The sequence below is a fragment of the Homo sapiens genome, chromosome 3, assembly GCF_000001405.40.
Source record: "Homo sapiens chromosome 3, GRCh38.p14 Primary Assembly".
In the NCBI taxonomy this organism is placed as follows: Eukaryota; Metazoa; Chordata; class Mammalia; order Primates; family Hominidae; genus Homo; species Homo sapiens.
The window spans coordinates 16,936,907-16,954,440 of NC_000003.12; the positions used below are offsets into that span (position 1 = coordinate 16,936,907).

Sequence of the window (17,534 nt, forward strand, 5' to 3'; positions counted from 1 at the left end):
TAGTCCAGGATTTTTCAGCCTCAGTACTATGAACATTTTGAACTGGATAATTTTTGGCGGGGTGAGCGGGGGCTCTCGTTTGTGTTATAGGATGTTTAGTAATATCCGTGGTTTCTACCCACTAGCTGATCTCTACCCACTAAATGCCAGTAACACCCCCATCAGCCATGACAATAAAAAAGTGTCCCCAGCATTGCCAAATGTCCCCTCAGGAGCAGATTATCCCTGGTTGAGAACCACTGGTATAGCCAATGCAGAGGAAGCAGGATTGGTCAGATCGGAGTTTGTATTTGACTTTTATATGGTCTATTTTCAAGTAATTTGTCTTCAGAGCAAGAATAGGCTACCGGGAGGAACCCTGTAACTAAACTTCATGAAAATATAATTAAATTTCATAGCATTCCAAGGCACTAACTAAATTTGTTATATTGAAATGAAATCAGTGAACTGAGACCTGAGGACAGGTTGAGAACCTGGGAGGTTATTTTCTAGAGAGACTGATCTCAGTTGAGTTCAGGCAAAGGGTAGGAATCATGGTATTTCTATGGTGAGTCAGTTATGGTTGTTAAATTTAGTTATTTGCTGTGCTAATAGCATAAATCAAAGAACAGGAAACTTCCTTCCTAAAATATCCGCCTGCCCTTCTAGGTTGTGCTGGCCGCATAAGATTTGCTGTTGCGGCTTTCTATGGATGGTTGACCAATTCAGATGAAGCACCCACCTGCTGTGGAAAATCTGGAAAATCAGCCAAAGTTTGTTTCAAAAACCTTACTTGACTACATATTTTAATGACTCCAAGTTATACACTTGACTAGAAATTAGTGGTGTGTGTTTTCCTCGCATATGGTTGAATTTCCCCCTCCCTGTTGCCGATTTTAAAAAGATGTTTCTTTTTTATGAACGCTGAGAGTATAAATCAAACAAAAGCCAAAGGAGCCACGTCATGTACTCAGTCTGTAGCAGCAAATGTTGTACTTGCATTAATTTTGGATAACAGGTTACAGTTTTAAATTGGATTTTTTTGTAATGCAACAGAAATTACCTTATGAAAAGTTGGTTTGAAAGGTGGCAATTCACGTGTAATTTGATGTTCCATATTAAAATATACATGTCTTACATAGTACTGCTTTCAAGCATGACTACCTGTATAATGCAATCGTGTTAAATCATTGTTACATGTATTTTTACTAATTACTGAACTGGAGTGAATTATAAATCTCTGCCAAAAACATTGACTTGCTTATACTGGGCAAGCAGTTAATCATGTTTGGTGGATCTGTTCTTTAAAATTTTTGATGATTTTATAAAGCTTTTGGATAATTAAATTAAGATGAACTACTTCCACAGTGTGTAAATACCTTGTAATGCAGTTTTAAAGGGCTATAAAATAATAATTAAAACTTAGAATTACCAGCTTCCAATGATCATTTCAATAATCATTGCTGACAGAGGAAGAAGTAGTATTATAGAAAACAAGAGTTCGGAAAGAAATACAAGAAGCCTCAGCCATCCTCATTTTCTTTCTGTCCATCCTTACCACGTTGTATCTGCGGTGGGAGTTGACTGGATGGTAGAAGGGGAAAGCCATAGGCTAAGGGAAGACAGTACACTTATGGAAGATTGTGTATTAACCATTTTCTTTCCCTAACAGATTTTGATTGTCCCTTATTTAAATACATTTCTATGTGAAACCAGGAAATAGTAATCTTTTTTGTTGCATGTATAGTGCAAAGGTAGCTTGAGAAGCAGTATGATAGGATGGACACCAGGATGTCATAGCTGGAAGCCTTCTTGGAAATGCAGGGAGCACAAAATGTCTTTTGAGCTTCTTTTCCCTGTACCTTTTCTCCTTTTGTTTATGCCCCACCCAGGCATGAGTTCTTTAAATCAAGGATTTCTATTCAGTTTACTGTTTTCATATTTGTACCTGAAACAGAGATAGCTAACACTGTTACTCCAAAACTAGAGCGAAAGAATTCAGAAATATGAAGAAAATTTATATAAGTGTTTGAGGGAGGATATTAGTTTCATTTCTGACTTTTATTCAACTTTAAAAACTTAACAGCTAGCTGTGTAGTTTCCTTGAATCATCTGATCTTGTCTCCATATAAATATAGAGATTCCTAGAAATATTACTGTGAATCCATGCTGTATGTTTTGGCTTCCTGAAAATCAACTAAGGCCCATCCATGCTGTGCAGATGTTGAAAGTACAATTCTCCCTGTAGATAGCAAAGGGTAAGCGGGTAATCACACACTCTTTCTTGTCATATTTTCTTTTAGGGTGAGAGTCTAGTAGCTGTTGGAATTTGGATTAGTAGTCCAAACTACTAGTGTTTAGTCTTCTAGAGTTTAATAGGTCTATTGATATAGAAACAAATATAAATCTTTAGTCTGTGCATTATTATCTTTAAATGCTTATTTTAGAAAAATCTGTTGGTTGAGTTTATTGGGACATGGAACTATGAAAGTCATGGGTATGAGCTCTGCTACTAGCACTTAGCTTTGCCAGATGGTATGATTATATAGACTGCCTTGAAAGAGGTGGTTTTCAAGGGAGCAGGTTTAAAGGGAGAATCTTTCATTCCACAGTTATTTGTGAATGTTGTGCTGGACAGACACCTGTAGACAAAGCAGACCACAAACACATAAATAAATGTGAAAACTATCAGATATGTGTGTGCAGTGTATTAAAATTGGGTGAAACAATAAAAAAGTAGTTATTTCTAGAATAAAATTTATAAAGATGGATTAAGCCTCAGTGGAACAAAAATGAGGATAGACTTATAGAGCCTCTGAATATACAAAAATCCAGGTCTCATTCTGTTTACACTGCACAAAATATTGGGGACAGCTTTTATTCGGGAGATCCTTTTCATGATTTCCACTCCGTGTTTTCCTACGAAGTAACATATTTAGAAAACCTCAGAAAAACGTTTGTTTCTAGGACAGCATAGAAGGGGAAGAAACAGTCTATTTTCCTTCCGGGCATTGGGGGAACAGAGGGAAGACCCAGGCACATGAGTGGTGGGTGGTACCTGAGGGCTTAGGGTCTAAAGAAGAAGAGTCATACTATTTTTAAAAATCCATATTTGAGACAGTGGCATTCAAAGCCCTAAATGAGTGGGGTTTGGAGGAGACCATGGAAAGTAAGAAAAGGACACATGAAATGACAGGAAGCCATGAGATGTCTGGATTACCATCTTGTGTGAAGTTCCTAGGCAGCACCCTCCCTCGTCCAGATGTCCCTCCCGGCGGGCCAGCACCTCCATTGAGTTCTGACTCGTGCCCTTTCCCATTGTCCTTCCTGCCTCTTCTTCAAAAAACTTTCACTAGAATGACTTTCCTTGCAGCCTCTGAACCTGTTCACTTCTCACATCCGAAACCAGCCCTTTCTTTCTCTTGTTTAGTTTCCCTCGTCCTTTTTAATCAAAAAAAGTTCAACTCTCTCTCTCCTTATGTCTCTTTTCCTGTGTTCCCACAACTGTGTAATCTTGCGTTTGCTTTTGCAAAGGCCACAACTAAGTTCCATGTTGTAAACTGAGCTATTTTAAAATAGACCTTGCAACAGTAGGTACTGGGGGCTAGAGGGTGGAAGAGGGGCGTGGGTTGAAAAACTACCTATCGGATACTGTGCTCACTACCTGGGTGACAGGCTCAATCGTGCACCAAACCTCAGCAACATGCAATTTACTCATGTCACAAAATATACTCCCTAAACCTAAAATAAGAGTTGGAAAAATTAAAATAAAATAAAATAAAATAAGTCTTGGCATCAGATAGGATAGAGGTTCAAATCTTGGCTCTGCTACAAACTGAGTGATATCAGGCAAGTTATTTAACCTGTCTAAACCTCATATTATAAGATATGATAATAGCTTCTTTTATTATAAAGATCAAATGTGATGAGTATGTGATATATCATAAATTGTCCAATGCATTTAGCGTGGTGCCAGCCCACAGGAAGTGCTTCATGAGGGATGGCTGCTGCTCCTACTTCTACTAAACAGTGCTGTTGCAGTTACTACTGCTGGACCTGCTGCTGCTTTTAATTTTGTAGGCCTGCAGTCCTCTTTATGCTACGAGCCCTTGGCTTCCACCTCTGTACTCTGTAGGCTTGCTTATTCTAACCCTGCCTGCAGCTTTCCTCTCCTTCTGACCTCTTTGGCCTTTTCCTACTACTAAGAGAAGGGGGCTCCCATGGATTCAGTCCTTTGTCCCCTGTTCTCACCACTTTGCCATCCATACTCACAGCTTTAACTCCCTGCTGTATGCTCATGACTGTCACATTTATCTCTATTGCCTGCTGACATCATTACTGGGATATCTCATGTCTCCTTCACTCATCACAAGTTAAAAACCCCCATCACCTCTCAATTCCACTGTTGCATTAGCCTCTTGACCATTCTTTTTTCTTCCATTTTTGGCTCTTTTTAAACTAAGTTGCCCCATAGCCAGAGTGATTTCTGGAAAAGGCCAATCAGATGATTCTCTTTTAAAAACCCTTCAGCCAAGCACCCAACTCCAGCCCCAGCCTCAGCAGCACCAGCTACAGAGTCTCTCCGTGACAGTCACGACGCCCCTGTCTACTTAGCACCCCATGCATCGCCTGTCACAGTATGTGCTGTGAAAATATCCATGCCAGTAAGACAAATGAGTATACTGCATGCTTTTTGCCTCGAAGCCTCATGATGTTGACTCTGCCTGGAATATCTTTCCTCCTCTCTGCTAAGCTCACTTTGATTCTTCTCAGCACAAACTTCATCTTCATAATCTTGGCTGGGCTGAGGGCCCCTCCTCTGTTCTTCCATAGCACCGCAACTATCTCTCACCCTGTAATTGTGACCCATTTTTTTTAAGTTAAATAAAACCGAACAGAATAGACTAGAAGAGAAAATGCTGTTTTGTATGTTTGTCTGTACTTGTATATAGGTGTGGTATAAGTTTTTTTCAAGGGCACAGTAAAAAAAAAAAGGCTTGGAAAACAGATTTGTGATGCTATACTGAGATTATCTGTTCATGTTACTCCATGAATTGTAAACTCCTTAAGAACCGGGACCATTCTTATCTTTTTAGCCCTAGTGTTAAGCAAAGCTTTAGTCAATAAAAACTTGTTAAATGGAATCTGCTAATTCTTGAAAAAGCAAAGGTGAGGAGAAACCGTGAAGTATGTGAATTCCTAGGATGAAATAAATGATTTGTGAAAAGTTACTTCTCTGAGTCTAAGTGAGTTAATAACTGTGGGCCCCCAGACTGAGCCTCCTTGTCCAGTGGACCAATAGAACCCTATGTAGGAAATCTGGAGTGAGAATCTGCTGAGGAGAGTGCCTTGTTCTCTTTTGTCAAATGTGTATGTGCAGATTCTGCAATTACATAGGCGAAAGTGAGCTCTTTTTTATTTGTTTAGGGAAACCGAGCTCCTACCACATTAGGCTAAGTGAATGGCTTTTCCTGCAACCAGGATGGTGGAGGAAGGAAAGAGTGGCAGGTGAAAGGTTTCCTATCAACTTCCCATTACCTTTTCCTGCTGGCAGGCTAGAAAACAAGCCCTGAAAGAGAAGGAGTGCGTCCTTCCCTCCCAGGTGCTCACTGATGGATTTTCAGCACCGAAGCACATGGCAGGAGATGCGGGATGCTCCTTTAAGGGGTCACCACATTTCTTCTGTCCTAGCAGGGAGCCAGACATGACTCTATCACGCTTGCCACTTTTCCATTCTTCTCATTGTCCTATTCTCTTTTTCAAATTTTTATTTGTTCTTAATACTTTTATTGCTTTCTCATGTTTTCACTGCTACTATGCCTTTTTCTTCCTCATTTCATCCCATTCCTCCCTTCCACCTCCTTAAAAGCAAAGAATAAAAGAAACAACTGTAAACAACACTTGTAAAAGAGAAATTAGTTATCAAATGACTTCCACTTAATTTGGGGACCTCCACTTAATACAGGAAACAAGTTTTAGTGTCATAGACCACGTATCTAAAAATGATAGTGTTCCTTAAGGGGGCATGCCTAACTTTTCTTTATCCCTGTAGGCATAGCATGGTGCTGTGCATAGAAAAATGAGCTCAATAATTGTTTGTTGTCCAGCTAGATTGAATTAATAAAGATTAAGTGTGATGCTACAACTACATTCTGTTTGACTTGCCCTGAAGCAGTTTCCTTGCTCTCTCTTTCATGTCCTTATCTGCCTCCTCCTTTTAAACATTATTATGAGTGCTTTATTTTATACTTCTGACACGTTGACATAAATGACAGTCTTGACAGATTTTATATTATTAAAAACACTACTGAATAATATCCTTGTGCTTCTTGAAGTCAGACACTTCATTTGTGAAAAGTTGATTCTCTGAGTCTAAATGAGTTATTAACTGTGAGAACAATTATCCTCTGTACTAGCTCTAAAACCCTTCCATTGACAAATGGCCTCCTGAGTGTTGCTTTAGGTATAGTCAAAGCCACCTAACAGGAATTACCCCAAGAAGACTTGAGTGCCAGCCTATCCTGAGAGCCCCAAGCTGGGAGGAGTTTGAGCAGCAAATTATGAAGGAAATAGTTTTCAAAGAACTTTCTCTATTGGCAATAACATTATTATTTTTCAGATTTTACAAACAATGCATATTTACTATAAAAATCAGACTGCAGAAAGGCTTATAAAAGAAAGTGAAAATTACCTACTTTCTTATGGTCTGTCCTTTTTAGTCTATAGTCATCTTTGTTTTTGCATGTATACATAACATATGTGTTTTTAAAAGATTGTTCTAAAATGTTATTATCTGCTTAAAAAATATAACAGATATCCATCCATGTAATCAGTGTAGCTCTGTATCATTGTTTTAAGGGTTGCATGGTGTTTTTTGTAAGGTTATTCCATAATCTTTAAGCTATGTTTAGGTTGTTTCTATTTTTTTAGCATTATAAAATAATTTTCTAATTAAGGTCTCTTCTAGGTAGCTTGATTTGTGCAAATAACTTAATCACCCTTTGGATCCTTGCTTACTTCTGTGAAAGGTGGAGTTGAGCTTGATGATCTCTTGGGTATTATGTTTAAGGTCACTTTTTATTACATATGGTTTCATGCCTTCAACTCATAGCTTTCCCTGGGAGAAGTGGAATAGGCAATGGTTAAGGGCATGACTGTTGTAATCACAGTGCAGGGATCCAAATTCTCTTTATTGCACTTACTAGCTGTGTGACCTTGGGAAAATTGTATAACCTTATTGAGCCTCAGCTGCCTGATCTGTATATGGAGATGATAATACTAACATTATAATGATGTTGTAAGGATTCAGTGAAGTGTAATGCACATAAAGTGCTTAGCATGATGCCTTACATACATACTAAACACTCAATACAGGTTAGTCAATCTTTTTATTATTAGGATTTCCACTTCTAACGTGCCAGAAGCCTACCCATTTTTCAATGGGGAGCCAGATGACTCTCCATCTTTCCAGGTGGTCAGGCCAAGAACATTGGAGTCATCGTTGACACCTGTTACTAGGCTGAACTGTGCCCCCTCAAAATTCATCTGTTGAAGTTTTAACCCTTAGTGCCTCAGACTGTAACTGTACTTAGAGATAGGGCCTTTAAAGAGGTAATTAACATTAAATGAGGTCATTGGGATGGGCTCTAATCTAATATGTGTCCTCATAAGGGAGATTAGCACAGGCACACAGAGATAAACAGACCATGTGAAGACACAGAGAGGAGATGGCCATTGGCAAGCCAAGGAGAGAGGCCTGGGAAGAAACCTGGAGCACCTTAATCTTGGACTTGCAGCACCAGAACTGTAAGAAAATAAAGTCATGTTTTTATTTTTTGAGGACTTTAGTTAATAAAAATGTATTGTACTCCGGGTTTTTTTTTTTTTTATTTGAGACAGAGTCTCCTTCTGTCGCCCAGGCTGGAGTGCAGTGGCGTGATCTTGGGTCACTGGAACCTCCACCTCCTGGGTTCAAGCAATTCTCCTACCTCAGCCTCCCGAGTAGCTGGGATTACAGTCGCCTGCCACCACACCCGGGTAATTTTTGTACTTTTAGTAGAGACGGGGTTTCACCATGTTGGCCAGGCTGGTCTCGAACTCCTGACCTCAGGTGATCCACCCACCTGGGCCTCCCAGAGTGCTGGGATTACAGGTGTGAGCCACTGTGCCCAGCCTATTCCAGATTTTTTTAAAGCACACATTGCTGTGTGCTTCCCAGTTCCCTCTGCCTGGAACACTCTTCCTGCAGATAGCTGTGGTGCTCAACCTCACGTATTTCAGATCTTTACTCAAAAATCATCTTCTCAGCAAGGCTTTACCCTATCACCTGTTTAAAATCACAGACACAAACACATACACACACACACACACACACACATACACACACATGCACACACAGCACTTGTCTTCTCTTTCTGGCTTTTCTCCGTAGTATTTATATTATATATCTTACATGCCATGTATTTTACTTGTATTTTGAAATATTGTGTTGGTTTTTTATTATAAGTGCCCTGAAGGGTGAAGTTTTTTTCTGCTTTGTTCCTTGTATATCCACAGCACCTAGAACATTGCCTGGTACATGTTCAGCACTCTATAAACATGTTTGGAATGAATGGATGTGTTTTTTGGCTTCCTTCCAGTCTCCTACTCTCAGTTTGTGCTCCTATAGCACCACCTCTCTTGTGACTTTTGATATATTCTGGATTTACTATAGTGTGTTGTCTGCCCCCACCCCAGACTGCAAAGTCCTTGATCAGAAACAATTCCTCATATTCCTTCTACTGTCCAGTGGCATACTCTATATAGGAAGTGCTCAATAAACAGTCTAATGAATATGTTAACATCAGCAGTCATCGGTCATATAGCCACTCTGTTTCCATTTCTTTCCCACACACAGCAAATTTGTAGACCCTGGGGTCATGGTTCCACTTTATGAATGAAGTAGAGACCTTTCTGACCCAAGCGCCATTTACCCATCGCTTCCTTTTATCTTCTGCAGGTTTATTCACATCCTCTCTACCTTTCCCTCTTTTCACTTTCTCTTAGAGTTATGTCATACGTTTCACTACTTTTCTCTTTTCCACCATCACATCGGATCCCTTTGTTAGCCAACAGATGCCTGTTACTAAAAAGAACAAGAACAGTGGCGGTCCATAAACATTAATCACCAGAGAAACAGTGTAAATTTGTGAGAGCAACAGGCTTTGAGTCTAAGTCAAGAATCTTCCAGACTGAGGTAGCCTTTGTGGAAATAGAAAGACTTAAATTGAATATTGGAAATGGGAAGGATTTGGATAGAAGAGAAGAAGGGGAAAGGTGGTTTAAATAGCGGGAAATGAGAAGCAAAAAGGAGGCAGCGGAGAGCGCACCTTGTTCACCAGCTTTCCCAGTGCTTCATTGGGCCTAGCGGACGCTTCGGAATTCCACAGAAGAGAGTTTCCAGTCTTCGTTCTCCTTCAGTTACTATTGTTTTTCTTCATATACTAGATGGAGTAGGAGGATCAAAATGAAAGCTTTAAAAAATATTTTTAATTGAATTTAAATTGTTTTCTGTTTGGTTTAACTACTAGTATTTCAACAGTAATTTTCCCTTATGTTTAAGTTGTCTGCCTACATTATTTCAGTTACATTGTGGATTAAATAGGCTTTTCTGGGTTGGTCTGAGATTATAAGGACTATTTATATTACAGTTTTTATGGGAGAATGAATTCAGGGTTGTAAACAACCGACCTATGTAGAAACTTTTGGAATGCAACTTAATGGTTGACTGTTTTCTTGTAACTGTTTTAAATTTTGTTTTGTTTTTTCATTTTGCTTTTCTAGTCTATAAATGGAATATGGTGTGTCTTCTTTCCTTTGATTCCATTGTTGCTCTGTGTAGCTAATTAGAAAGTTTATAGAAGTTATAAGTCCTGTCATAAGTCATTTTACTTCAAATTTCTTATAATATTTTAAAATTATTAATAGTTTCTTTCCACCTTTTAAAAAGATAATCAGGGAGAGCTTTTCTTTTATATTAGTTTTCCCATATAAGAGTAAATGAATGAATATAAAATTAAAGTTTCATTCTTTTTTTTTTTTTTTTTTTTGAGACAGAGTTTTGCTCTGTTGCCCAGGCTGGAGTGCAGTGGCACGGTCATGGCTCACTGCAGCCTCGACCCCCTGGGCTCAGGTGATCCTCCCACCTCAGCCTCCCAAGTAGCTTGGACCACAGGCACATGCCACCACAACTGGCTAATTTTATTTTTTTTTTTTTAGAGACAGGGTCTCACTCAGGCTGGCCTCAAACTCCTGGCTTCAAGCGATCCTCCTACCACAGCCTCCCAAAGTGCTGGGATTATAGGCGCGAGCCACCGCATCCAGCTAAAGTTTTATTCTTATGAGTCATCATTATTTTGTGTGGGAGTGCAACATAAACTGCTAAAAGAGCAGTAAATAAAGATTTTGTTAAACTCTTACAGTTGTGAGATTGGACAACAGGAGATTTGAACTCCTCAGGAGAAGCGATGGTGCAGTTGTTCCTAGAACCACACTCAGAAAATGGGGCTGGAGGAATAATGATTCCTACTGCGACTGTCAGAAAGAAAGGCCCATCTGCAAAGCCTTTGGGTTGACACTTCCTACCTGTTTGGTGTTTTGCACTTTTGGAGAGTATTTCATCACATCCATGGGGTGGAAGTGTTTTAGAAACGGAATATCCTCTGCCTGCTTTTCAACAGTTTTGTCTCCATTTATTTTAGTATTCCAAATAATTATAAAATTTACCCCAAGTCAGAAAAGAAACTACCTTTGCCACCAAAATGTTTATAATTACCTCAGTGACTGGCAATATTTTAATTCTCTACCCACACCACTTTCCAGAAAGCCCTTTCATTCTTTCTCTTGATAAATTCTAATAAAAAAATTAATTGCTGGTTGAGAGTATTTCTCCGGTTACAAAAACTCATTTCTTAAAATTTAGCATTTAAGAGAGGGTTAATTTGGAAGTTAATTATGGTTAATATTACATCAATAATTATTGTCTTTTCATTAGTTTTATAAAATAGCTCATTTGATTCATTAAGGATTATTTGGTAGGGATGAATAAAGAAAAACATGTTTTAATTGTCCTCCTTTCTAAATCATCCAGCAGATATTTACATTGAGTTGTTTTTCTTAAACAGCATTTGAATTATGCAGGAATGTTCATAGCAGCATAATTGTTAATATCTCAAAAGTAAAAGCAGCCCAAATATTCATCAACTTATTAATGGATAAATATAATGTGGTATATCCATACCATGGAATATTTGGCAATAAGAAGAAATGAAGTACTGATGCATGCTACACAGTGGTTAAACCTTGAAAACATTATGCTAAGTAAAAGAAGCCAGACACAAAAGGCCGTATATTTATAAATCCGTTTATATGAAATGTCTGCAATAGGGCAGATCTGTGTGGGGCAGAAGGTGGATTAGTGGTTGCCTAGGGCTGGGGTCGGGGGTTGGGGGGACAAGGGGAGTGACTGCTAATGGGTGTGGAGTTTATTTTTAGGGTGATAAAAATGTACTAAAATTGATTATGGTGATGATTGCAGAACTCTGTGAATATACTAAAAGTCATTGAATTGTACACTTTAAATAGATGTATTGTGTGGTGTGTGAATTATATCTCAATAAAACTATTGTTTTTAAAAAGCATTTCTTAGTATTCATTCACTACTTTCATTTAATGAAATGGAAGAGACTTTAGAGGTACAGAGCATGGTCAGTGACAGAGGTAAATACACAGTGAGTACTTGAATTTACTAATCTGAGGAAAGTTCTCAGCATCTCTTTGAAACTCTATTTAGATGGGAATGAATAGAGAACAGATTCCTTATTCCATTAATTTGAAAATATCATTGTACTTATCTACCAGAGAGAAAATCCCAGAGTTCAAATGTACTGAGAATTTTTATATAAAACCTGAATGAAATGTTTGAAAAAATCCAGTATGTTTAATGAAGGTACATAAACTATTTCTGCATTTGATTTAGAGATGACTTTGCTGTGCATTGTCTCGAGGTCAACTATAATATATCATAGTTTGCCATAAGCCATAAAAGGCAGTTCAGACAACGCAACTGTTGGGTGCATTTTGGACTGCTACATAGCATTTATTATATGCATGTATGACAAATAATATGTATATATCATAATTTTTTAACCATTCCCCTATTGATGGTCATTTAGATTTTTTCCTGATTTGGGCTATTATGAGTGGTTCAGCAGTAGAATCCTAGTACATGACTCCTTGTGAACATGTATGTGCAAAGCTCTTCTCTATAATAGAAAATGAAAGATAGAATTGCTGGGTAGAAGGTGTGTCCATTTCTACTTCGATACTGCCAGGTTATCCTCTCACAGGTGCCACTGCGCTCTCCCTCTGGCAGTTTCCCTACACACTTGCTAATGTTTGATATTGTCAAACTTTATCTGTGGTATAAAAAAATATTGTTTTGATTTGCAATTGCCTTTGCATGAGTATTCATGAGCTTGTTTAATGGCACTTTAATTTCCTCTTCTACAAATTATCCTTGATCCTATATCCATTTTTAAATATTTGTTTATCTTTTTCTTATTGATTAGTGGGCATTCTTCATGTATTTTGGATATTAGTCTTCTGTCTCATAGGAATTGTAAATGTTTCTTCCTCTGTGGCATGCCTTTTGACTTTGTTTATAGTATCTTTTATCAGGCAGAAGTTTTAAATTTAGATGTAGTCAAATTTATCTTTTCTTGTGCTCAGAATCCCCTCCATCCTCCTCCCACTTTGTTTAATTCTCTGCTGTTGCCGTCTTGAAAGTCGTGCATTTTCATTTCTCACTGGGGCACGCAAGTAATGTAGTCATTTCTGCTTATATGTTATTTTAGGCTTAGGTCTTTAATTATTCTGGAATATTTTGGGTGTGTGTGACTTGTGTGAAAAACAGGTATAATTATTTTGTATTTTTTGCAAATGGACAGCCAGTTATTTCAATACCATTTGTTTCATAGTTAATCCCTTTCCCATCATTTGGAATGCCACCTTTCTTATATTTTGAATTCCCTTGTATTCATTGGACTGTCTCTGGAATATGCATTTTGTTCTATTAATCTGGTCATCTATTCCTGTACCAGTATCATGATGTTTTAATTGCTGTATCTTCACAAGGTTTTTCGATATCTGGTAGGACAAGACCTTTGCTCTTCTTTTCTAAGATTACTTCAACTATCTTGTATTTGTTTGCTTTCCTTTTTTGGCATCAACCTCTCAATTCCTTGCAAATTCCATTTGGGATTTTGTTAGGGATTATATGAATTTTATAAATTAATTTTGGAGAAAATAACATCTTCATAGTATTGAGTCTTCCCATACAGGGACAAGATATGTCTCTTCTTTAATTACCTTATGTCCTTCACTAAAGTTTTATCTATTTTTTCTTAACAGGCTTGCATACCAAGCATTTTAAATTGTTATTTTGAATGGGATTTATTTCTAAGTTTTTTAAATTGGTGTATTTAAGAGCTAATAATTTCTGGTTTTGGTCTTGTATTTGATCTCCTTGCTGACATCCTTGTAGATCTACTGTTGATCTCTTAGCCTGTTGATTCTCTTAGCTCTTCATGTAGAGATTTTAAAATACTGACAGTGTTGTGTGTTTATTGCTAATATTTGTTTTATTTTGCTTTTTTTTTTTCGATGCTGCTTTAGCTAGAGTAAGTCTTATTCTTCTATTGGGAGGCTTCTACCATCTCATCATTAACTAAAAAGTTTACTATTGGCTTCTCGTAGATTCTCTTTTTCAGATTAAAGAAAACTTCTATTTCTAGCATGTTGGAGTCTTACCATGAATGTGTTTTGCATTTTATCAAATCCTTTTCTCTGCAATAATTAACACAATCATATGGTTTTTATCTTTTAATTTGTTAATGTAGTAATGACCTTCATAGATTTTTTTCTCTTCTAAAACCACCATTGTATTTCTGCTTGTTCTAGATATATTGATTAGCCAGGATTTTATTTAGGCCTTCTGAATCTTTGTTCATAAGTTTGGATGATCTATGGTTTTCTTTTTTTGTTTTGTCATTGTCTGGTTTGTGTATGAGGGCTATGATCAACCAGACAATACACATGACAGCCTCTCTTCCACCCCAAATAATGATTCTGTCTAAAATGTCAACAGTGCTGTTTGAGAAACCCTGTGCTAGACTCAAAATAAACTGAATGGCTTTCTGTTTTTTTTCCTGAGTAGTTTATGTAACATAGAATTTACCTATTCTTTCAGAATATGGTATAATTCACCTAAAATGACCTGAGCATTGTGCCGTTTTAAGAGGTAGATCTTTGAGCACCTTTTCTATTTTTGTTTGGATATCCATCTCAGTGGTTTTCTTTTTGAGTTAATTTTGGTAATTATATCTTCCTGGAAAATTGGTCATCTGTTTTATTTTTTAGTTCATTTATATTAAATTTTAACATACTATCTGAATTTTGAAAGTAATAATTCTATCCTTTTTCTTTTTGAAATTCATTTTGCCAAATATTTGACTGGCTTAGGTGTCTTTGAAATCACCAGGTTTTGGTTTTATTCATTAACTCTACTATTTTCTGTTTCTTGATTTCTCATTCATCTTTTTATTGCTATATTAATTTCTCTTTTCTATATGTTTATTTTCTTTCTCTTGTTTTTAACTTTTTGAATTGAAATTTTTGGCGACTTACTTTTTATTGTTCTCATTTTCTAAACCAGCATTTAAGGCTATAAATTTTCCTGAGTGCTACTTTTCCAGTAATACATAGGATTTAGTGTATAGTGCACACATATCATTCATTTTTAAACTGCTGGTGATTTTCATTTTCACTTTTTTACTTTGACCTAAAAGTTTCTGAAGTGTTTTTAAATTTCTGCATGTATAGAATTCTTTGAGTTGTTTAGATCTGTCAGGTAATTTGGCCTGTATGTTTTCTGTTTGGGAATGTTTTTGAGTGCTACTCTGTGGCCTAATACAAGATCTTTTTTTTGTGAATATACAAAAAATTAAAGCTTAGTAAATTATTATTCAGATTTTCTCATCATCTGATGAGACCCTGGTGCCTGCTATGGCCTGAGCGAGAAGCCATCTATGTAGATGGGGTTCTATGTAACAGATGATAGAAACCTGAGGACTTACAAATATATCATCCATTCATTTAAAGTAAAGAAACACTGCATGTTCTCACTCATAAGTGGGAGTTGAACAATGAGAACACATGGACACAGGGAGGGGAACATCACACACTGGGGCCTGTCGTGGGGTGGGAGACAAGGGGAGGGAGAGCATTAGGACAAATACCTAATGCATACATGGCTTAAAACCTAGATGACAGGTTGATAGGTGCAGCAAACCACCATGGCACATGGATACCTATGTAGCAAATGTATACCTATGTAGCAAACCTGCACGTTCTGCACATGTATCCCAGAACTTAAAGCAAAAAAAAAAAAAAAAAAAAAAAAAAAAAAAGAACCTGTTCTGTTCTAACTACTTTTAGGAACCTGTTTAACTCAAGGAAATAAAAATACAATCAAAGATGCTTTTATGCATTATTTGTAATAGTGAAAAATCAGAAGTAAATGTCTAGTGGTTAAATAAATGAATAAATATGTAGGCTTTAAAAAATCATATTTTAAAAAGAATATTTAAGATTATGGGGGAAATTATTCCTGGCATCTTTATTTAATAAAGCAGGATACAAATTTGTATATAGTATGATCACATGTTGAGAAAAACAATACATGTACATTAAGTATATGCATACAATAAAAGGTTATTTTTGAATTATTTCTTGAGTGATGATATAATTTAATTTTTTCTTTATATTTGTTTTTCTGAATGTTTACCATGATTATTTACCTTATAATAAAATATATGTAGTTGGAAGCATCTTTTGCGAAATAATTTCTTTTGTCTAGCTTGTATATAATGCAAAATTGCAACTTACCGAGGGCAGCTTAACAGGATGTGTTAAAATTTTGAGTATTTATATTCTTTGACCCAGAAAGTTCACTGCTATGAATTAATCAGAAGTTCCTATAAAAGTACAGAATGATTTTACTACCTTGTTTATAATACAGAAAAATTTAAAAAATGTAATTCTAATACTCAGTATAAACCTACTAAAATGAATTGCATTATATATAAAAAAGGAAACATTAAACAAGTCTTAAAAATAAATTGGAGCTTTATGGGTAATGACATGAAAAACTGACCAAGACATATTATGTGAATGAAGCAAGGTGCAAAACACTATGCATAGTATGATCCCATTTGTGTAAAAATGGGGTGGTTGTGCATACATCACATGTAATGCATTATAATTTTCTGGAGTAATACATAGGAAATAACAATACCTACCTGTGAGCAAAGGGCTGAATATGTGTGATTTCACTTCATGTATTTCTATCATTTTGAATTTGTACAGAAAACATGAATTACATTAAACAAATTTTAATAAAAATTAAATCTAAAAGGTAGAAGATTATATCACTGTAATACTGTTTATGTATTTCCTTTCTGTGTGTGGTAGTAGGCCCACCTGTGTAATAAGCATGTAAAATAGATAGGATCACTGCCCTTGAAGAGCTTGTTCTCTAAAAATCTCTTTTTCATGGATATAAGACATTAATGTTACTATTTTTGTGATGGTAAGATGATAATGTGCTAGAAGTCAAATGGTTGGAATTTAGTCATTTCTGACTTCAGTGAACTAATGCTGATTTCACTGAAATTCATTGTGTACAAGCTGGATAATCCCAAAGTGGGCGTTACCTGTCTGAGAAAGGAATTAGATGGGTTAAAATTAGTACCATTAGTCCAGACTTTAAAAACCTCCATAGTTTTTTTTTTAATCAAACATAATAGAACTTGTTTGCACCATTGTATCTTTTATAGTAGACATAGAAATACGTTTTAAGAGAATTTGTTATTTATGATGGGTCCCAAGTATCATATAAAGTTGAAAAGATCCAGTGTAAATATTTCAATTTTGAGTTGATTTGATGTAATGTAACTGATGAACTTTAAAATACCTGCTGTTTCACACAATATTAAGATATAATTTTTACTCAGTGACATATACATTTTTGTTTGTTTGTTTTTAATTTTATTATTATTATACTTTAAGTTTTAGGGTACATGTGCACAGTGTGCAGGTTTGTTACATGTGTATACATGTGCCATGTTGGTGTGCTGCACCCATTAACTCGCCATTTAACATTAGGTATATCTCCTAATGCTATCCCTCCCCGCTCCCCCCAGCCCACAACAGTCACTGGAGTGTGATGTTGCCCTTCCTGTGTCCATGTGTTCTCATTGTTCAATTCCCACCAATGAGTGAGCACATGCGGTGTTTGGTTTTTTGTCCTTGCGATAGTTTGCTGAGAATGATGGTTTCCAGTTTCATCCATGTCCCTGCAAAGGACATGCACTCATCATTTTTTATGGCTGCATAGTATTCCATGGTGTATATGTGCCACATTTTCTTAATCCAGTCTATCGTTGTTGGACATTTAG

General features: G+C 36.6%; 1 protein-coding gene across 5 annotated transcripts in view; it reads left to right on the plus strand.

The window, feature by feature from the left end:
- PLCL2 (phospholipase C like 2) overlaps nt 1-17,534 on the plus strand; it is a 205,652-nt gene that overhangs the window by 51,952 nt on the left and 136,166 nt on the right. For 2 of the 5 annotated variants that reach the window (XM_047447799.1, XM_017006025.2), the window contains exon 2: nt 649-752. The exons of the other annotated variants lie outside the window; for them this stretch is intronic. In XM_047447799.1, coding sequence (XP_047303755.1) covers nt 649-752 — 104 coding nt within the window. The remainder of the gene's footprint in view (nt 1-648; nt 753-17,534) is intronic. 5 annotated transcript variants of the gene reach the window in all.